Source organism: Homo sapiens, chromosome 13, assembly GCF_000001405.40.
Source record: "Homo sapiens chromosome 13, GRCh38.p14 Primary Assembly".
NCBI classification, from domain to species: domain Eukaryota; kingdom Metazoa; phylum Chordata; class Mammalia; order Primates; family Hominidae; genus Homo; species Homo sapiens.
The window spans coordinates 51,258,257-51,279,760 of record NC_000013.11 but is presented as its reverse complement, the minus strand read 5'-3'; the positions used below and the strand labels follow the sequence as shown (position 1 = coordinate 51,279,760).

General features: G+C 44.8%; 1 protein-coding gene across 5 annotated transcripts in view, besides 3 other annotated features; it reads right to left on the bottom strand.

Moving 5' to 3' along the window:
• Positions 1-21,504, bottom strand: part of FAM124A (family with sequence similarity 124 member A) — a 61,842-nt gene that overhangs the window by 4,479 nt on the left and 35,859 nt on the right. Inside the window, exon 4 of one of the 5 annotated variants that reach the window (XM_047430136.1) lies at positions 16,206-16,336. The exons of the other annotated variants lie outside the window; for them this stretch is intronic. Within the exon in view, the coding sequence (XP_047286092.1) occupies positions 16,301-16,336 (36 nt within the window). The 3' untranslated portion in view covers positions 16,206-16,300. Of the gene's footprint in view, positions 1-16,205; positions 16,337-21,504 lie in introns of those variants that run through there. 5 annotated transcript variants of the gene reach the window in all.
• Positions 16,112-16,630: an enhancer, noted in NCBI's record as "H3K4me1 hESC enhancer chr13:51837267-51837785 (GRCh37/hg19 assembly coordinates)". NCBI's record gives its function as "activates a minimal SCP1, AML or CMV promoter by ChIP-STARR-seq in primed H9 embryonic stem cells {active_cell/tissue: H9 hESC(primed)}" and the evidence as "EXISTENCE:reporter gene assay evidence [ECO:0000049][PMID:30033119]".
• Positions 20,253-20,800: an enhancer, noted in NCBI's record as "H3K27ac-H3K4me1 hESC enhancer chr13:51833097-51833644 (GRCh37/hg19 assembly coordinates)". NCBI's record gives its function as "activates a minimal SCP1, AML or CMV promoter by ChIP-STARR-seq in naive and primed H9 embryonic stem cells {active_cell/tissue: H9 hESC(naive and primed)}" and the evidence as "EXISTENCE:reporter gene assay evidence [ECO:0000049][PMID:30033119]".
• Positions 20,801-21,350: an enhancer, noted in NCBI's record as "H3K27ac-H3K4me1 hESC enhancer chr13:51832547-51833096 (GRCh37/hg19 assembly coordinates)". NCBI's record gives its function as "activates a minimal SCP1, AML or CMV promoter by ChIP-STARR-seq in primed H9 embryonic stem cells {active_cell/tissue: H9 hESC(primed)}" and the evidence as "EXISTENCE:reporter gene assay evidence [ECO:0000049][PMID:30033119]".

The following is a 21,504-nucleotide window of genomic DNA, read 5'->3' as shown; positions in this document are numbered from 1 at the left end:
GCCTGCTGACTGATCCTGCGGATCCTGCAGGGGTTGGATGAGCAGCTTTGCCCTGTCATATCCCAGCCTATCCTCCTGGTCCAGCAGCCCTCCCTGGCCCTCACTGCAGCTCACCAGTAACCCGTTTCTGTTGTGCAGAACTGGAGACCTCTCTTCCAATGCGCATTTGCACCAGGGTCTGCTTCTCTCAGATTCTCTCTCTGGTCTGTGTCCAAGCATACAGGCCAGAACCCAAGGCCAACCTTACTATGCATCCAAGGTTTCAATTAAATAATGGGTTTGGGGGCAGTCGGTCTGGCTTGACTTAGTATATATTAATAGTACCTGATTTACAAATCCCTGCAATAAGAAAAGGGTTCTGACTGGGGTTTACTACAAGGGCTCTCGGCATCCAGCAGGAATGGAGAGTCACCCCTTTGGGATGGGGTAAGGAGCAGCCCCAAAAGGCTCAGATGTGCCTAAGAGGTGTCACAGCTGGGTGGCTGCTGGGGAAACAAACCAATTTTCTTAATCATTTGAATTGGCTGAATAAAAGAGAAAATAAGTCAAGAGAAAATAAAATGAGGCTATTAGAGAAAGAAGTCCTTGGGTACAGAGGTTGTTTCCGGGGGAGGGGGACAATGTTTATTAATTCAAATGTCTATCTTATTTTTTCCAAAGGCCAATTCCTTTGGGTGCCCTAATGTCATTTTCTTTCTTGATAAGTATGCATCACCTTGTAACTTCTGTCTTCAAAGTCTTATTTGAGAACATGCACTTGGTGAAAAATTTTGCAGTCCGAATCTGCCTGAAAAAGGAAGCCTTTGTGGTTGCTTTATGAGGAGCAGAAGGTCAAGGTTCCCATGCAAGGAATGCCAGGGGACGTCTAAATGTTCCCAGTGTCAGGGAATAGGGCACTGTTCAATTTGGCTTAAAATCAAGCACAACTGATGGAGGATGAACACTGTGTAGTTTTGCAGAGATTTTCACGACTGTGCTTGTTTAACAGAAATCTACCTGTATTCTCTTATTTTTACCACATGACGAAGGTAGGAATCCAGACAAACCCTACATTCTGCTGCTTTGAAGAGAGATGGTACCCGGTCTTTTTCACTGGAGGGTGCCCACGTGCACAGTGGAGCTGCCTGCTGGGTGGGCGGAATTTGAGGCTGATATGGCATTGTGAATAATGGCAGGAAATCCTGGGTGGCAGCAGGAGGCAGGTGCTTGAGGAGCCTCCACATCGCTCCTGAGGCCTGGAGCTGATGTGACTGCAGGGCTTGCATATGGGCGGATCTGGTGGTATTCTCTGGCTCTGTCCAGTGGCAGAGGGGTCAGTTTCTAAAAGTGGGGTCTTGTTGGATTTAAAGACAACCCGCACCTGTGAAGGTTGGAGCTCCTTTATGTGCTGTTCCCCTGGTGGTGGTTCCATCTCTGGCCTCCCTTGTGTGCTTGTCTGCTGACCAGAAACACTAGAGGCTGGGAGGGAGTTACTTTAGATGTTTCCAGAGACTCCTCCTCAGTGGACCTTTTTAGAGTGAAACAGGAACCTGAATCCTCCTCGCATGGAAGCCTCCCCCTGGCTTTCAGCTCTTGGAGGCTGCCCTCCTGAGCTGCTCCAAGTGACAGCAGCGATGTACTCGTTCCTTTCTTTCTCTTTGAAGCAGTGCAGGCTAGCTGCCTCCCTGGAATCCAGAAGCTCCCTTCTTTCTATTTAAGGAACTTTATCTAAGGAACAGAATAGCATCACATAAATTAATGTGCTTAAGGCAACCAGCCCGGGAAATTTGGCTATGTCCCTAAAGTCACCAAAAAATTGGAATTCAGTAACTGATCCAAAAGTTTTCCCTGCACCTTTGAGTACAGTTTGCAACTGGGGAAGCGAAGGGGTCTGCGGCGGACCACTGAGGCAAAGCATCTTTTTCAAGGATCTGGGTGTCAAGAGGCTCATACCCTGGCACATGGATAGAATCCTTTCTCTCTTTTTTTGAGACAGAGTCTCGCTCTGTCGCCAGGATGGAGTGCAGTGGCGCGATCTCAGCCCACTGCATCCTCTGCCTGCTGGGTTCAAGTGATTCTTCTGCCTCAGCCTCCTGAGTAGCTGGGACCACAGGCACGTGCCACCACACCCGGCTAATTTTTTGTATTTTTAGTAGAGACAAGGTTTCACCATGTTAGCCAGGATGGTCTCAATCTTCTGACCTCGTGGTCCACCCGCCTCGGCCTCCCAAAGTGCTGGGATTACAGGCGTGAGCCACCATGCCCGGCCAATTCTTTCTCTTTAATTTTTTACTTTTTATAGATTTAGGGAGTACAAGTGCAGATTTCTTATGTGCAGATACTGCATAGTGATGAGGTCTGGGCTTTTAGTGTACCCATCACCCAAATAGTGAACAGCGCACCCAATAGGTAATTTTCAGCCCTCACCCCTGGTCACCCTCCCACCCTCCCACCCTGTGGAGGCTCCAGTGTCTCTTATTCCACTCTGCATGTCCATGTGTACCCATTGTTTAGGTCTCACTTCTAAATGAGAACATGTGGTATTTGACTTTCTGTTTCTGAGTTATTTCATTTAAGATAATGACCTCCAATTCTAACCATGTGGCTGTAAAAGATGTGATTTCATTCCTTTTTATAGTTAAGGAGTATTCCATGCTATATATACCGCATTTTTTTTTCCAGTCATCCACTTGATGGACACTTAGGTTGATTCCATATCTTTGCTACTGTGGACAGTGCTGTGATAAACATACGAGTGCAGCTATCTTTTTGGTAAGAATCTTTTCTTCTTAAATCGCTAGTAAAGGTGATTCTGCCCCTCCCCCAGGAGCCCTGGCAGAGTCTCATGATTTGTTCATGGTCAGGGACTTTACCCTCAGCCTCACACCTCCTCTTTCCCAGTAAGATCATTTCCTCTTGTGTTTTCCTTGGCAGAAACATGAGCAGTGTGACAATGTCTGCTGTGTAATGAGCCCGTGATGGCCATTTTAACACAGGGACTAATACAAATTTGGGGCTGTCTCAAGAAAATTGGGCAACGGGTTCACATTGAGAAATCAGAGTCTTGCTCTAAAGAAAAATACCATGTTTTGCTTTTCCTTTCCCTTTCCTTTGGGTGGTTTTCACACACTCACTAAGGATGCTGGCCATGGGCAAAGCCTGTGTTGTCTTTCTGGAATGGTCAGTACAGGAAGAGGATTTGGATGGAAAGGGCAAAGTTCACCCTAAGAATGGACAAAGCCCGTACACGTTTTGTAAAATCAGTGATGTTTTTGGTAGAAAGTTTGAAAGTTGTCAAAGAGATGCTGAGCTAGACAGGATGGCGGTTGAGCAAATGCTTGCTGGATTGTCATCTGTCTACCTTCTCTTCCTGTCGCTATTATGGAAGTGTAAGGCTTTCTGGAAAATCATCAGTTATAGCAACATACCAATTCCATTCTCTGCATAGAATGGCAGGTAGTATAATTCAGGGTAAAAGTACTTATTCCCCCAAATTGGTAAAATGGCAGCAAAGTGATAATTAGCACCCCCTGTGGCTTCCTGCCAAGAGTTACTTAGCCTCCCTAGCTTCACCCCGCATACCTCTTGAGTGATCTCTCTGAAAGTCAAACCTGAACAAGCTCCTTGGCAAAACTCACTCCTTGGCAAGCTCTACAAGACCCGGCCTACCCCTTGAGCCTTGTGTCTTTCTAGAATCCTAACTCATGTGCGCCAGCAGTTTACAACTACCATGCTCCCAAACACCTCATGCTCGTTTGTATCTCCATGACTTTACATGGTGCTCCCAGTGTCTGTGCACTTAGAGAATACCTGCCATCTTCGGAGACAAAATTCAAGGTGCTGCTGTGAAGCCTCATTTGGCCACTTCCCCTCATTTGGTGAACAACATGCACTCATTTCTCTTGGGTATATTCCCAGGAGTGGAAATGCTGGGCCACAGCATGAGCATGTTTGCGGCTTTAGTAGATACTGTCAGTTTCCAAATTGGTTGCGTCGATACATAATTCTACCAGGAATTTATAAGTATTCCAGTTGCTCCACGTCCTCACCAGCATTTGGCATTGTAATTCTTTTTAATTTTAGCCATTCTGGTGGGTAATGGCATTTCATCATGTTGTTAATTTGCATTTCCCTGATGAGTGATGATATTGAGCATCTTATGAGATGTTTATGGGCTATTTAGGCATTGCTTTTAGAGACATGCCTGCTTTTTATGCATACTCTGGATTTAACACCTTTCTTAGATATATGCATTGCAAAAAATATCATCAGCCAGTTTGTGGCTTACCTTTTTGTTCTCTTATTGGTATCTTTTGATGAACAGAAGTTCTTTTTAAAGTCATTTATCTTTTTTTCTTTAAGGCTGGTACTTACTGTACTCTGGTTTATTTCTTTATTTCTTTAGAGACAGGGCCTCCTTCTGTTACCCAGGCTGGCGTGCAGTGGCACGATTATAGCTTATTGCAGCCTCAAACTCCTGGGCTCATGTGATCCTCCTGCTGCAGCTGCCTGAGTAGCTAGAGCTAAAGGCATGTGATACTATGCTCAGCCAATTTTTTTTTTTTTTTTTTTGTATATACAGGGTCTGGCTATGTTTCCCAGACTGGTCTTGAATTCCTGGCCTCAGGTGATCCTCCTGCCTTGGCCTCCCAAAGCACTGGGATTTCAGGCATGAGCCATCATGCCTGGCCCCTTGCTCTATTTTAAAAACTTTTTGCTACTGCATCCAGTAGCCATTGTGAACCAGGATTCCTGAGTACTGTGGATGACCACAGGGAGGACAGAAAATAAGCCACTCTTGATTAAGCCACGATTCTTTAGGTCCCTATCATTCTCAGTTGTACTTGAGCTTACAAATTACTCCAACAAATAGGAGATATTGATATATTTAGAGGAACTGGGTTAATTGTTAAATCTTCACTTAGTTCTGTGAGGCTTTTAGAAATTGGGTTGCTTGACATCTGATCCTGCAATTATGTGTTTAAACAAATGTTCAGTTTTGTACATAGCAAGCACTCAATATATTCCTGAATGAATAAATACAAAAATACATGTGAGATACAAATACATATCTTCTAAAATAACTTAAGGTAATTTTAAGGTACTTATATGTGTGTAAGTTATGATATATGCCTATATATCATAAATCATAAATACCAATAAATATTATTTGATTTTAACAGAAAAAAGTTATGAGGACTCTGATATTTTTGGGAAAAGCAGTAGCAACATCTAATGATAAAGAGCAACTTTTCAAATAAAAAAATATCTGAGTAGTTGCCTCAGGGACCAGCTTTGTTTAATACAGGTTGAGTATTCCTAATCCCAAATCTGAAATCCAAAATGCTTCAAAATCTGAAACCTTTTGAGTGCTGACATGATGCTCAAAGGAATGCTCACTGAAGCATTTTGGATTGTGGATTTCCAATGCTCAAGTGATAAGTATAATGCAAATATTCCAAAATCCAAAAAAATCTGAAATCTTAATCACTTCTGATCCCAAGCATTTCAGAGAAGGGATAGTCAACCTGTATCAGTAGTGACTCTTGTGAAAATGTGGCAAGGATCCTAGGAGATACTATTAATAAACAGAAAAGGGCTGGGCACCTAGAAGTTCTAGGAAACAACATGGATATTGATCTGATGTATATTAAAAAGCTATTCACTTAAGGAGGAACAACAGAGAAAATCAAAGTGACAGCTGAGGACCCGGAGCTAGCGCCAACAAATCTAATGATAGAATCTGTAAAACTTGAAAGAATATCATGCCCAGGTGCAAGCTTTCTCTTTGTATAAGTTCTGCATCTTTCCCCGAATATTTATTTTTGGTGTAATTTGTGAATTACCCTGCCCATTGGCTGTAAAACACAGGAGTAGACAGAACTGATTTTTATATTAACAAAGGATCATCAGAGTTTCATTAAGTATCATTGATTTTAAGAAATTTCCAAAGAGAAATATCCCGTGACATAGTTCAATGACCAGGAGGAGCTGACAGAAACAATTAACAATAACTTAGGTTAAAAATCTCATTCTTACTTTATTTGAACAACAAGAGATAGAGTATTTTGTTTTTGAATTATCCAGATAATTTCTTCAATTCTCCAATGTAATTTTCTATTGCACTGAGGGTATAATGCTAGCTTGTGGGACTGAACTTTAGCTAATTACTGCATTCTAGCCTGAAGGATTCAAGTTAAAAAAAAATTAAGCCAACGCAATGTTACACGCCTGTAGTCCCAGCTACTCAGGAGGCTGAGGTGGAAGGATCGCTTAAGCTCAGGAGTTTGAGACCGGCCTGGGCAACATAGCAAGCCCCTGTCTCATTAAAAGAAAAAGTACATGCATGCATATCTATCTGCGAGCCTGACTGGAATCTTGGAGATTCAGTTTAATCTCAGTTTTCTCTAGCTCAGCACAATTGACATTTTCGGCTAGATAGCTCCTTGTTGGGAGAGCTGTCCTGTGAGGATGTTTAACCGCATCCCTGACCTCTATCCACTAGATACCAATAGCACCCTGGCTACCTCCCCGTTGTGACAACCAAAAATGCCTCAGGACATTGCCAAATGTCCCCTGGTGGAGGAGAGATGCCAAGTGCCCCCAGGTGAGAGTTGCTGCTAAACTTTTGTATTATGAAAATATAATGCCCTTGCATAAACCTGGGGGTCTAAGTTCTGCGGGAATGCCTCCCTATCATTTTTTGAATTAAATTTTTATTTTTATAAACTGATATGTAAACAGAGTTTTAAAAACAAAGTACACATTAGTTCTACAAAGCTTATAATGGGGGAAAAAAAGAGGTTTTACCCTTATCCAAGTGTCATTTCTTAGAGCAGTGCTGTCTATAGAACTCTGTGCAATGATGTAAATGTTCAATATCTGTGCTGTCTGATTTGGCAGCCACTAGCCTCCCAGTTCTCCCGAGAGGGGACTCCCTCAGCCTCCTGCCTGGGCAGGTGTTAGGAACCTGGCAGTCCCAGAAGTGTAACACAGATTGCACTTCTTCCTCCTGGGCCCAGTATGGCACTCCCACCTTGACTGTGCTTGGCGTCCTGCGGTCTAGCACTCCTACCTTGACTGTGCTTGGTGTCCTGTGGTCTAGGTCCCTGGTCCATCTTTCCAGAGAGTAAGCTTTGGCCTTCTGATGGGAAGGGGAAGAGGTAGCTGATCTGGTGGTTCAACTGGTGTGTGTGTGTGTGTGTGTGTGTGTGTATAAGGCTTTATTTACAAAAATAGGTGGCAGGCCAGATTTGGCCTGTGGTCTTTAATTTGTCGACTCCTGTCAATTGCTTTCTGTACAAACTTCTAAACCAATTTTTCCACTCTCTCATCTAGGCATAGACACTGTTTCCCATTTAGCCCGGCCATCTCCCTCCTGCTCCTTTCTTAGGGCCCAGGCCTGCAGCATCAAGTCTTGGCCATTCAGTGTCTCAGAATGATAAAGACAAGAGACAATCAGTGCGGGCAGGAGGGGAGTGTGGTTTGGGGACTCTTGATTTGGTAGGGAGCAGAGGGGAGGTGTGCCCCCAAAGCCAACCTACTGACCTCCTGTGCCCCCAACTTCCTTGTAAGAAGATAGGGGGAAAAGGATATTCTGGTTTTGCTGAACTGGGCCACCCAGCCTGCCTTGAAGAGGGAAGTGGCTGGTCTCACAGCTAGAGCTTCTCTGAACTTTAAGTGTGAGATACTTATCACTATTCTTGCTTTTTGGCCTAGACTCCAATCACTAATTCAGAGAAAAGTGAGCCCCGACTACTTGACATAATAAAAATGGATTACGAAAACTCAAAAGCAGTGCTACTGCAAGGCTGAGCTAGCTGACCATATCAGAAAAGGATCCACGCCTAAACTGTGGTAACACCAGTGAGTCAGGTCTCCTCAACACCCTCAAAACCTTCCACTGGACTTGGCGAGGTTATATTACTGCCCAGACTGCAGCTGGGCATCATAGTCCCCACCTAACCATCCTCCACTCTGGCCACCCACACCGTCATTAGAATCAGTGAACACACGTATTTGCCAGGAAAGATACTGGCAGCGTCCTCAAGACTGAGATTGTCATGAAATCATGCCAAGAGGAACAGAAATGAGAGCAGAATTTATTGTATTACGTGGGCCGGTACTTTGCAATCCTGGTTGCACATAAGAATCACCCAGGAAGCTTTAAAAAAAAACCATTCCAGAGCAACTGAAACAGAATCTCCGGGGTGGGTCCCAGGCATCAGTTGAAAAGCTCCTCAGGTGATTTGAATTAATGTGCAGCCGGACAAGGGCCAACTTTCTGATTTTTCCCTTCTGCCTAGCTGGCTTTACTTCTCTTGTTCAGGGGCCCTCATCTATTTTTATGGCTACTGAAATTATTTTATTCTGAATGACTTTACATTTTCATGACTATATACTCTTCAAAACTTAAAAAATGCCTTTTTTTACTCTATGTGAACTAAACTCTTGCAACCTCCCAGCTCCAAAAATCTGTGATTCTGGAAAGCTGTAAAAATGGAGACCTAGAAAAACTGTGCCCTGTATAATGTGCAGTGAGAAAGCTAGCGGGAGAGGCGGCGCCAGCACACAGGAGCGTTCTGTCCCTTTTGTCTTATCCCTACTATGTTAATTCCTTTAGCATTCACATTTCCCCCTCTTTGTATACAATTATCTTGGCTAAAGTATGTTGAACTTGTCCTTTCAATTAACCTCTGTCTGGAAAATGATATGGATAATGGAAATTCCAGAGAATGAATTTCCACTGCCACATTTCCCTCTCAATAAATTTTAATTTTGTTCTTATCTGCAGATCTGTTTAAATAACAAAACTTGCTTTTTAGCCTTGAATCCTCATCAGTTCCACCCATTTCTATGGCTTACATAAGTTTGTTCTTGCAGTATTATCTGTTAGCTCACTTAAAACAGAGAACTATTGAATATATTTGTAATGCTTATGCCAAAAACACAGGCTGCCTACATCAGAAGAGATCAACTAACCGCCCACAGGACAAAGACTCAGGCTGAACAAACGGTCCATCCAGCCTTCCTCAGAATACATGGACGTCATGGCCATTGTAGATTCTAAACAGTAACTATAGATCTAATCTTTTCCATAAATCTGCCTAAGGGGGGAAAATGTTGATTGTTGAGATTAGCCTTGTACTAACAATGCCTCTTCTCAGCAAATAGAATTTAGGACAGCACCTCAAAAGTTTCAAGGGTTAGAAGATTCATGCCAAGAACAGGTCAAGAATTCACTATGGCTATTCTATTATCTGCAAAGCAGCAGTCCTTAGGTGCTCTCCTGGCCAGAATTCTGCGTGGGCTTTCTTGAGTGGTAAAAAGCAAATAAGAACATTATAAATTTAAAAAAAAATCCCATCTTTGAAGTGCATAGTATTTAAGACACAAATGCAGAAACAAAAGGACCTAAAGACAGGACAACTTTATAGATGTTCAAAGAATATGTCAATTAACTAAGAGACAAGATGGGATGCAAGTACGTTGTAAATAATGAGTTATCTCAAGTTTGCATTTTCAGATATGGCAGCAACCTCGTATGTAGTCAGTGGGCTATTTGCCTGAAAAAGTACCAGCCTCTTAACCTGCTGGGGACCCTTAAGGCTACAGGATGATCTGGGTCTGGGGTCTCTGATTCAGGCTGGGCCCACCCTGGAGTTGCAAAGGGCCTTCAGAGAGACAGGCCAGAACCCCATGTCCGCAGGATCTGGAAGAACCCAGAGTAAACAGGACATCTCCAGGAACACTGTGGGTGAGAACTGGCCCCCAGAACTGTCTCACTGATTCTAAACTCACCCAGGATAGTAGTTGAGTCCTGGGATTCTGGCTGTACGTAAAGTCGTCCTGGCTGGGATTAAACTAACCCTCCATTAGTTACCTAGGGTGGGGGTTTACATAATCAGATAAAATTCTGGAATATCAAGGTAGGTTTTCTGATCTGCTTTTGGGTACAGAAAAAAATCCAAAAAATACTTTTAAAAATTAACATGCAATTAATTAAAGTTACCAATTTCAAGCTCAATTTTCCCTTAAATTGACTGAGTTCAACTCACAAATCTTATTCTATTAATAAGTCTAGCAAATGTTAACAATTAACAATTATTTTTAAAAGGGCTTTGTAGCTTAATTTCCTTTAACATCTTAAACTTCATTTATACATTTAATGTATTGATTTTCTTTTTAAGTAGTTCAGTGGTCTTATTCATAAACAAAATCTTTAAAGTACTTAAGTAACTCTTGTAAATCTAATCAATTCAACATATAAACATGGTGACAATTAGATCCTCTTAACTGTTTCAATGTTACAAATTTACTAAAACTTTGCTCTCATATTCCTCAACTTAAAAGTACAAATCTAAATCAATTCTAAACTACATTTTACATTGGAATCACAAGGTTGACCTCTTGTCTTAATAGGTCAAATTCTGTAAAACACAACAAATTCTTAAAATACCAAACATGACCAAATTGTTTCTCAGCTACCACAAAAAATGTTAATATCATGTATTTTTACTGTATTATTTCTATTCTAAATTTTTCTGGGATTAAGTGTCCATTAAGCAGGTAATTACATCATTTCCAACAGTTTGGTGTTGCTTTTCTAGCTGACTGAGGTTGCACACAGACAGCAATTCTAGCCAGGGGGTGTCCCAACAAGGAGGGACACACAGCAGCCTCTTTTGTGGTTTCTGTAACAGGGATTCAGAACTGAAAAGAGCTGTGCACATGGCCCATCCTCTCTGCACTTTACTCAGATTGTGGCTAACTTCCATCATGGCTTCATTGGCTCTGCATGTGTTTGTTTCTCCTAAGTTACTTACATCTTATTCAGTTGGATTGTGCATCTCTCTTGAGGCTTTGCTGCCTCTGTAGCCCTCTGATAACTTGGTGTTCCTGAGTTAATGGAAGAGAGGAGCTGGTTGAACCTGGAAGCCCCAGCTGTCTAAAATGTCCCACTTGAGCGTGATACTAAAGGAGCAACCCCAAACCAGCCAGGCAACTGAAGAGAGAAGCAGGTTTAGGAAAGAAAGCCACTAAAGGTGCTCATAACTTGGTGATCCACACCATTAGACTTAAGTGGATCTTGGAAAGCAATTTCCTTTATTGACATCTGGGCCCTACAACGTGGTGTCCTCTTGTGACCATGCACAGGCCTCCTCCTGAGGTCCCAGTTGCACCTGTTCATGCTACAGGACCCTGATCCTGCCACCTAAGTGACTGAGCTGGGGTAGACACCTGACCTAATGAAAAGCAACTAAAAGACTGAGCTAAGCCAACTGGATTCCCCCTCTTCTTAACAGTGTGGGTTGGGTTTTGACTTTCATCCATTTCCTCTAGTGAAAAGGAGATAAAAGACGCTTTTTGTTTTTGTTTTTTTAAATATGACATTAAGAGAGTTTATAAAATTATTTCTTCACTCAATAATGACCAAGTTCTGGAAACTTCCTCCTTGGTCCTGTTATTTCTTCAGCCGTTCTCATTACTCCTTTCCATTGCCCTTTCAAAGGAAAGATGTCAGAACTGAATTTGTCTCCTAAGACTGTTTTACTCTTTCGTTTGTCAAGGACAGAAACCCAACTCATGCTATTAAGAAAAGAGATTGAATGAACTGGGGAGATGTCCACAACTGCAGGAATGCAGCTGGGCTACAGGATAAGTGGAGCTAAGGGTTCAGACACAACAAGTCCTGTTCCTTCTCTTCTCTGGCCTTCTCTCTGCAGGTCAGCACCCTTCCTCTCACTCAAGGCAGGATGGCTTTCTCTCCCTGGTGGAAAACACAGCTTCTGACCACTCCCCAAGCTTTACATGGAAGAGCCAACTTTTCTTTCCCAATTCCAATCCCCAATGCCTCGTGACATCTGGTGCACAGATAGTCTTGACACACCGACTACAGCTAGGGAGGCGGGACTGGGTTATTCTAACACGGCACTTCTGTGTGAATGGGGTAGGAGGCTCTCAGTAAAGGAGTACTGAAAAGGCAACACTTCAGTTGGCCACAATCTGGAGCTGACCGGTGCTGAATATTAGTAGAAGGGCAGCTTAACCCTTATACTCAGAGCATCGCTTAGGTGGTTCAGTAGTAGCTGGTTCTCTTAAAACAGCTAGATTACATTTCTCATTTGCATTGTTGGAAATGAATCAGAAAAGGAGAACACTTTTAGAAAAAAAAAAATCTTATTTACATGAAACCTATGTGACAAGAAACCTATAAAACCTAATTTCTTGGAAATTTATAGGAAATGAGCAGATAGCCATAGCCTAAAGATTTAGCTTTTGACTTCAACCCTGCAGTTCTAGGCATTTTCTTTGCTTCTCAATTTCAGGAAGTTATTCTTCTCTTTTGAGGTCTAGAAAAATCTATTTGCAATTTCCTACAAGTATTTCAGATAAGCAATATACTAGGATCAAACTAAAATGACATACATTTAAAAAATTCAAAATCCTATATATTTTGTATAATATATATTATGTAAACACAAGGGAATATATTTGAAAACAAATGTGGTCATTTCTTCCACAGGAGGGTTTATCTACATGCTTCCAGAAGTTTTTGGTTTGGATTACTAGTGAATCTTAGCATGTGTGAGGACAATAATGGCTTGATTCAAGTAACCAAAAATCCTTATGCTTTGGAGGTTTAGTAAACAGTGATTTGAGAAACAGAATCAGCCTATTACAAGTTTTAAAAAGCAGGTTGAACCCATTTCCCCCATCGGCTCTCCTAATACACTACATAATTTTTATTACAGCTATTGTTTATTATCTGCCTGCCCCTGCTAGAATATAATTTCACTAGGGCAGGGACTTCTGTCTGTGTTGTTTACTGATGTATTCTGAGCTCACAGATCCTGGCACAGAGCAGGCACTCTATAAATTGGCTGAATGGACAACTGGTTAAATTTAGGCATGACATAAATTCCTCCTGACCTAAAGATTACAGGTCTGTGTTGATGACAACAACTGCCATAAGGATTAACTACAGTAGCAGATGCTGTGGCAGGACTTTTCTTATTCCTGAGTGTCACTATGAGGGCAGTGGTGCATGGTGGAGGGCTCTGTATGAGCAGAGGCCAAGGAACGTGGCTATGCAGGAGGCAGGCCCCCTTCCCAAGAAGGTGGCCTTGTCTTTCAGGATGATAATACTCAAGCTTCCTGCCCTTGCCACTTCCATTCTGACTTACAGACATTTTTACAATTGCTATAAACTTGCAGTGTTGTTACTGGTAAGTCATCAGTCTCCATGGCTCATAATGGGTCCCATCACCTTCTAAAATCTAGTCGTCAAGTTCTGCCATAAACAAACACCTGCAGATGCATCCTCAGAGCATTACTGAGTCCCTGCTAACTGAACTGGCTTTGGGGTTGGACGGGTAGATTCCTGGTCACTAATGCACATTAAAAGTACAATTTTATTTTACAAAGGTGGTTTCAAAGAAAAAAACAAAAACAAAAAAAAGGAAAAGAGTACAACTTAGATACCTACTTTAGGAGGACAGAGACACTGTGTGTGTCTTATGTTTTACCTAGCAGATGATAGCTTTTATATATTCTAAATAAAAATCTGGCAATGTTTATTCAGTGGCCTCCACTGGGGAAAGGCCCCCAAAACTATCCCCTAAAAATGGCTGAAAATATGTGCGCTTTTCTCCAATGTTTATTATAAAACTTTCAAACATCCGAAAGTGTTAAAGAACAACACCCCTAGACCCACCACTTAGATGAAGTTGTCTTATTTTAAAAATCTACATATGCACACATATTATCTATATACGTATACATATATGTATGAGTATATATGTAATATAATCTGTATAGTTTTTTGGTGAGCCACTTGAAAGTAATTTGTGGCATCTTCTAGAATAATGTATATAAATCCCACATATGTGAGTGAGATGGGCACATGTTCCTATCAACCAATCAAGCATCTTGAATTCCTATCTCAGTCAGGAAAGTGATATATTTTGTGGTCTGAAAAGAGGCCCTTGCTGTTGGGAAGGCCCTGGGCAGCTACCAAATTCAGCTAATGGTGGAGCCGCCTCTGTGCATTTCAATCCTTAGTGGTTTATGGACTCTGATGATGATGATGGTGGTGGCGGCGGTGATAATGATAATAACAGTAGCTAATTCTTAATAGTCCTTACCATGTGCCAGGATTTACCATGCTAAATTCTTTCCCTATATTTTGTTCATTTCATCCCATAACCATGTGGCCTTGACTGTGTTGATTTAGGCACGCGAGAACCACCCAGAAGTCCCTTCCCTGCAGCATTGTATAGGGTTGGGTGTAAGGTGGAAATGCAGAAGCAGCCATTTCTTCATGCTCTGAAGGTTAGAGTAGGGCTGTCCCCAGTCAGCTGGCTCAGTGCTCCCAGGCCTGCAGCTGCTCAGCTCTCACTAGATCTCCATTTTCAGCTTCACCTGGCCCTGGGCAGGTGTGTTTTAGGACCATGGCAAAGGGTACCAGCTCCTCCTCAGGTCACCATGTCACAGAAGTTGAGGCGGTGAGAGACAGAGGTGGATTCCAGCACATCTCCCCGACTTCCCAGCAGCCTTCTTTCCCATCTGGTGGCCAAGCCGACCTGGGAAGACTCAGCCCCAACACCAGGAGTCTCCTTCTCCACCAGCTCCTCCAGCTGTGTGCCATCCTTAGGTTAGGTCCCTCCTAAGCCTCTGAGTGAGCCCTGACTGGTACAGCCATCCTGTGAGATGCTTACTTGTATTACCCCCATTTTACAGATAAAGAAATAGAGGCACAGAGAAGGAAAGTAACTTGCCCAGGGTTGTAGAGCTAGCATTTGGAAGAGACAGGATACAAATGCAAACCCTGGCTCAGAGACCAGTCTTTGGATCATTGTTTTACTAATATACAAAACAGGAAAAATGATTCTTAGCATCAAAGCTTAAAGATGATATACACACAATGTCTGAACCATGACAGGTGCAAATATGTGCTTAGTAAATGTGATGGACATCTCAGTTACTCTGATTTGGTTATATGAGTGTATCAGATGGCCACAAGTACTGTGAAAATATGTACAGCTATTATGAATCCATAAAATCCATAAACTAGAATTTCAAATAAATAAATGGAAGCCACTGCTGTGGAAGATAAACAGTGTATGCAATTTTTTTTTTTTTAAAGAGATATGGTCTTGCTGTGTTGTCCAGGCTGGAGTGCAGTGGCTATTCACGGACGCGATCATAGAGCACTGCGGCCTGGAACTCCTGGGCGCAAGTGATCTTCCTGCCTCAGCCTCCCAAGTTACTGGGACTACAGGTGTATGCCACTACATCTGGCAGGTGTATGCAACTTTGAAGCTGTCTTAAGTTTCAGTTAAGAGAGATCTCAAAGCACAGGCCACTGAGGAGGGACTGATGCAGAGGGGCTGACAGACAGGCAGGGTTTGAGTTTCCGAGGATGTACAAGGTGAAGGGTCAGGTTTTGAGGAATCCTACAGGATAATGGAAACATGGACAACTGGCAGGGAGAGGGGGTGCCTTGGGGGTCAACCCAAGTGGCTGCTTTCATCCAGTGACTATAAGATTTTATTTAAAGCCAATTCTTATTTATTTCCTCTTCCAAAGTTGGACAAATAGCAATCATGGGCATTAAAACCATTCGAGAGCAAGCAAGACAGCACCACTGGCCTAGAGTACCAATGGGTATAGCTACTAAAGGCATCAGTCACCCTTGACTTTGTCCTTGGCCACATGAAAAACATTTATGCACCTTCAAAAAGTCATAATGGAAGGCCATTTACTGTTATTTTGAATGATTCTCCTAAAAGGACCTAATGAGATTTAGCACCCAGAAAAGTTTGTTTTCAGATCTGGATTTTTGTTTTAATTAAATAACAAAAAGTTCATTTTTCTTTCTGATTTGGCTTCCAGGAAGCTGAGCACTTAATCCTCAATTCCTTTCTCTGCCCTTGCTATATTTACTTTCTGATCTCTTAGTCAGGACAACTATCCTGCATGTATATATTCACTGAAATTTTTTTAGACGGCAGTATATAATTTATAAATACCAAATACAGACACTGAGAAGTACTGAATAAATAAAAACCCAAACTAAATGGGATTATAGGAAATTCCCAATAAGCAGAAACACAGTGAAGGGGCACCGTTGACTTGCTTCCTTCTCAAAGGGGATTGGAGGGTTTCACGTGCCCAGGCGGGGTGCTGTGCTTGTTTCAGCCAGGTTTTGCACCTACTTACAAAGCACTGAGTCTGAAGCTCATGTAGCAGAGGGTTCACTCGACCAAGCGAGGGTTCCCCTGAGAGGCATGTGGGGCTCCATCTCTTGTTAATCCCATCACTCTCCAGCCAGGGCTGTGGAATGCTCTTGTCCCTGGAAGGGTGAGGACGCAGGGGAGAAGAAGCGTCTTCAGGGATGTGGTGAGGTCCAGGGGAACACAAAGGTTGGCAAAGGGACCAAGGACCATTCAGGCCCTTTTTCCATCCCATGCTGGGGAATGCACAGAGAGCAGGCTCTCTGCCTGGTTAAGAGTAACCCAGTCTCTTGGGACAGGGCTGGCATTATGGCAGGCAGGCCAGCGTGGGCTTTTCAGGAGCAGATGGACGGAGCCCCTGTGGGCTGGGCCTGGAGATCTTCACTCATTACCACCTCCCTTTAGGGCCAGCGTGTCTCCCTCCCCACCCTTGGTCCGAACACCACAGGGAGATGTCAGAGTGAGAGGCCCCCTAGTGGGAAAGGCTGTGGCTCCCCACTAAGGGCCCGTAGCCTTCCAGCTACACTGACCCAGCAGGGGCTACAGTGGGCCCAGGAGCCCTCTACCTGACCCTGTGGCCTGGGTGAGTGCTTGCAGATGTCTGAGGCCAGTCGATGCTGGTCATGTGGCACTAACTTTTTAAAGCTTATTGAGAGCCTGCTGTGAGCAGGTGCTGAGCTAGTTGCCTGGGTAAATAGTAACTGGATTCTCACACATGCCCCCTTCCAGACCACCTCGGGAAGATAGTGTCTTGAGATGACAAAAATCCAAACTAGTAGAACCTAGATTCTTTGGCAGCAAACAGGGACTCCCTTCACATAAAGTCCCAGGGGACCCAGAGGCTCATTCTCTCAGCATGAAGCCAAGAGCCAGGAGGAAAGTTCCTTAAAGTGAACGTAATGTTTGACCTTCCGTTTGAATGGGAAGGAGGTTGCAGCAGAAAAGAGACAACTAACCCAAAGGCCTGAAACCCATTTAGCAAATTGTTCTTTTCCTACATTTTTGGGGATAAGTGAGGAAGAGAAAGAAGAAAAAATTTAAAGAATTTAAAGAAAAAAAACTGACATGTAGTTCACATGACAAAAATGATGCAGATGAAAATGTACCAAAATGCTCTGTGATGGTGGTAGCACCATAAGTGATTTTTAAAAATATTGTGCAACTTCCAAAACTTTTTTGGGGTAATTTGGTTTTATTACTTTCTAATAAAATTATAATTAAAAGTATGAAAACATCAAAAGAAGGATAAATAGAAGCTAACACAAAATAACTACTAACATGGGGGAAAATTCAGTGGAGATGAAAGTAGGTTTTTGATCTGGTGTTTGAACAGGCCAACCTGACAAAGCTGGCAGGTCGCAGGACAGACAGGATTTGGTCTCTGCTTTTTGAAGATTTGGTCTCTGCTTTGTGAGATCTAGAGCCTGGACTTCTAACTGCTGCCTCCCAGCAGGCATTGGCTATGCTTTCCTGTTTTCCTGGGCCAGGAGGGTGTCCCTCCAAAGCCACACCCCACTTCCCTATGCCGTGGCTCTCATGAGCCATGCCACAGAACAATCGGAACCAGCTGTGAACTTGGGGCACAGGGACCCTCTGGTTCATCTTTGTCCCCCTCCAGTACTGTACCTGTCTGAAAGGAGCTGTTCAAAGAGTTTGCTGACCTGAGCAGCTCCTGGAAGTGCTGGACTGGCCATTTTTGGTGTGGTTTACTCACAGGCACAGAGTGGTTGGCTTGTAGCCCTGTGTTCCAGGGGATGGGCCCTGCCTGCTGGGCACCATTTGCTACATGCAGAAGCAGCAGCACTTTCTTCCAGATCTCCCACCAAACCTCCCTTAGGAAACGGAACCCTGAACGGACCAAACTAAATAAGCTAAGTGAGAAAGGAAGGGCAAGAGGGAAAGCTGTTCCAAGAATGAGAGCAGAAAACATTGCTTAAAACTCCTCACTTTCCTTCCTCCACCTCAAAGATCTGCCTGTAATCATAGTTCACTTCTTTTTTCCTAAAAGAAAATTACTCTTCCTCTCAGGGCTGAAAAGGCAATGATGTCACTTATACCTGCCGCCGGAATATTAAACCCAGATGATGCTCTGAGAAATTATTTTCTGGGGGTGGCTTTCAAGCATGCTGGGTAGCTGGCATAGACGAAATGACCCTGTGCAGGCAATGCAGTTGGCTGAAATAGCGATTTCCTTCAGGGTCTCGGCCCAGGGGCAAGCCCATGGCAGGCACATTAGTATCACTTCCCCAGGTCCAGGGACCCTCTGCACTAGCCCCGTGCCCCATAGCCTGCTGTTCGCAGGTGTCTTCCTTCCCCCACATGTGGATCTCCCACCCCTCAGGTCACTGCACCCCTGCCCAGGGAATACCAGAGCCCAAGCGGGAGTAATAAGGCAAGCTAATGCTTACCGAGTAGCTGCTGTGTATCAGACATCAGGTGCAAATGGGATGAAATCAGTTTGAGGAAAGTTTGTTCACTCTCCAGGTACCTCTTGAGACTTGTATTTTTGATGGTCTTACTGAGCCTGTTATTAATTTAAACTACAAATATTTTAAAAAGTGGCCGTGTCTTAGGTGGTGGTAATCAAACCTGAAGCAGCAGCTGGGCTATCCTGCCCTAGAGTTCGCTGTGCCTGGCAAATGTCTAGGAGGGCGCTACTGGCCAGTTCCTGGAGCTGGTCAGAGAGGCAGAACTTCAGCCCCAGCCCACATCTGCTGGACCAGACCCTCCGGAGGTGGAGTCCAAAAGTCTGTCTGACAAGCCCTCCAGGTTTTTATGCCTTCTAAAGTTGGAGACCACGCCAGCACTGGAAATGCCAGGTCTCTACTGGGTCCATGAGTTGGCTGTGCCTCCATCCACTCCAGTCCTACCACTTACCATCTGTAGTACTGGGAAGTAGGCAGTTTTCTGACCTAAATATCAGTGTGTGCATCTGCAAAATGGAGATAAGAATGGTCTCTGGCTGGTAGAAATGCTGAGGGTTAAGTAAGATATTAGATCACACTTAGCCCAAAGCGTGGAACCTATTAAGCGTGCAATTAACATTAGTTATCACATTATTATTTCTAGGGTAAATGCTTTCCTGCACGAGCTCATTGTCAGGCAAGACCAACTGGGGATAGTCTGTCACCACTTCTGGCAGCAAGAAGCAGAGGTGTCATTCCAGGAGGGTGGACCATGGCAGTGTGTATCTCTGGCCTTCCCAAGGACACTGGCTGAGCCCTCCCCTGGGAGAAGCGGGGCTCTCTCACAGTCACATGGCTGGCCTGGGGATGGAGGACTCCATCAGCACAGCCACCATTTTTTGTGTGTGGAAGGGAAGCTGGCCCACAGGCCTCAGGCTTGGCATAAGGGGCAGGGACAGGGTACAGGATGGCCACCTCACAATCTGCTTTACTCTCTGGCCCTGCTTTCAGTGGCTGGAGGTTCCTGCTCACAGCCAGCCAGCAGACACCACGGCCCCAGGAGCCCTCCTCCCGGACACCTCCTGACACAGCCTCCTCCTGTGTCCTATTGGGGGGTCCTCCTCACTCTGCACACACCCAGGAACTGCCTCTGAACCGCCCCCTCTGCCGAGGCTCTCCACTGCTCCCTCAGCCTCCTGCACACACCCCTACCAGCCCAAGGTTGCCATCTTCACCACCTTCCCTCCCTTTCCTTCTTTTATTCATTCCACAAACACTGGGTGTCTAACATGTGCCAGACACTGTTAGAGGTGCGAGGGTGACAGCAGTGTGCAAACAAGACCAAGTCCCTGCCCTCAAGGTGCTTGTCCCTGGTGGGGAGGTGGCCAAGCCTGTGATGTGGGCAGCTGCCGTGCGCTGGCAGCTTACAGTGCTACAGGGAGGAACACAGCGAGGTGAAGGGGACGGGCTGGGGCATCTGTGTCTGAGAATGAGAGAGGGACAACTGCGTTTCACTGCGGGAAGACCGACCATTCTTCCCACAGATCTCAGTGAGCCTCCAGGGAGGCCTCACTCATGAGGTGACCCTGAGGGGAGACCTGCGGGGGTGAGGCAGCCGGCGTGTGTTTATGTGGGGAGGGGATCAGGCGGCGGGGAAGGGGGAGGCAAGCATGGGAGGTACCCTGCGTTCTGAAGGACCCCAAGTGACACAGGGTCACGGGCAGATGAGGGGAGAGGCAGGAGGTCAGCGGGAGTGGGAGGCAGGTCTCACCAGCCCTGGGAGGAACTGGGCTTTACTCTGTGGATGAGCAGCCGCTGGAGGGTTCTGGGCAGGAGTCACATGATCTGATTTGCATTGTAAAAGGATCCCTCGGCCATCCAGTGGAGAAGTGGCTGTGGGAGCCCAGGGCAGAAATGAGGAAATGCCAGTGGCATTTAGAGACGGAGGTGGCAGCAGAAGTGGAGAAAGTGGCTGGGTTCTGCAAGCGTCCTGAGGTAGAGCAAGTGGTCTCATGAGAGAGGACTCAGGGATGACTCCGCTGGTTTTGGGCTTTGGAACTGGAGCATGATTTGCCTGTTCCTGAGTTAGTGTCTCACCAGACATCTATGGCCCAGGGAAGATGCAGCTCGGAACCCTGACGGCTGCCCCGGCCCCGTCCTGCCCAGGCCATTGTGCCTTCTGCTCCCTGGGGCTCCCCAGTGCCCCCGGAACAGCATCTGCCCCAGCTCTGCTCAGGCATAGGTTCTTCTGAGCAGCCTCTCGTGGCATCTTCCTACCCCGGCCACGTGAACCCATCCACCTGTGTGTGGTAACGGTTGCCATTCCCGGGTCATGGGTGCTGACCGAGGGCACGCCAGAGGCATTCTTCCCACAGGTCTCAGTGACTCTGCTAGGGAAGAATTACCATCCTAAGTGTTCAGATTTGGAAACAAAGGTTCCCAACGCAGTGGAACATGCCCCTAGCCACTCAACAGGTGAGTACAAGAGTTGAGACTCTGAAGCCCATGCCACGTGCTGCCCTGGATGAGTTTTGAAGCCACAGCACTGCAATGCTTTGCTAGCTTTCTTGGTTTGCATGTCTGCCATCTCCATTGCTCTGAAAGGTGAAGCCTGGCATAAGGGGCTGCCCAATAACCCAGACATTAGAGTCTGAAGAGGGTTCGGAGACCCACGAGAGATCCCAGATGGCCCTCACCCCTCTATCCCCAGCTCACACTCATTCATTTTTTGACAATATAATAACAGAGACAGATCAGATACAAGTAAACAGATAAATATACAAGATAGTTGTTATGGGTTGAACTGTGTCCCCTCAAAATTCATATGTTCAAGTTCCATCCCCTAGTAACCTCAGAATATGACCTTATTTGGAAATAATGAG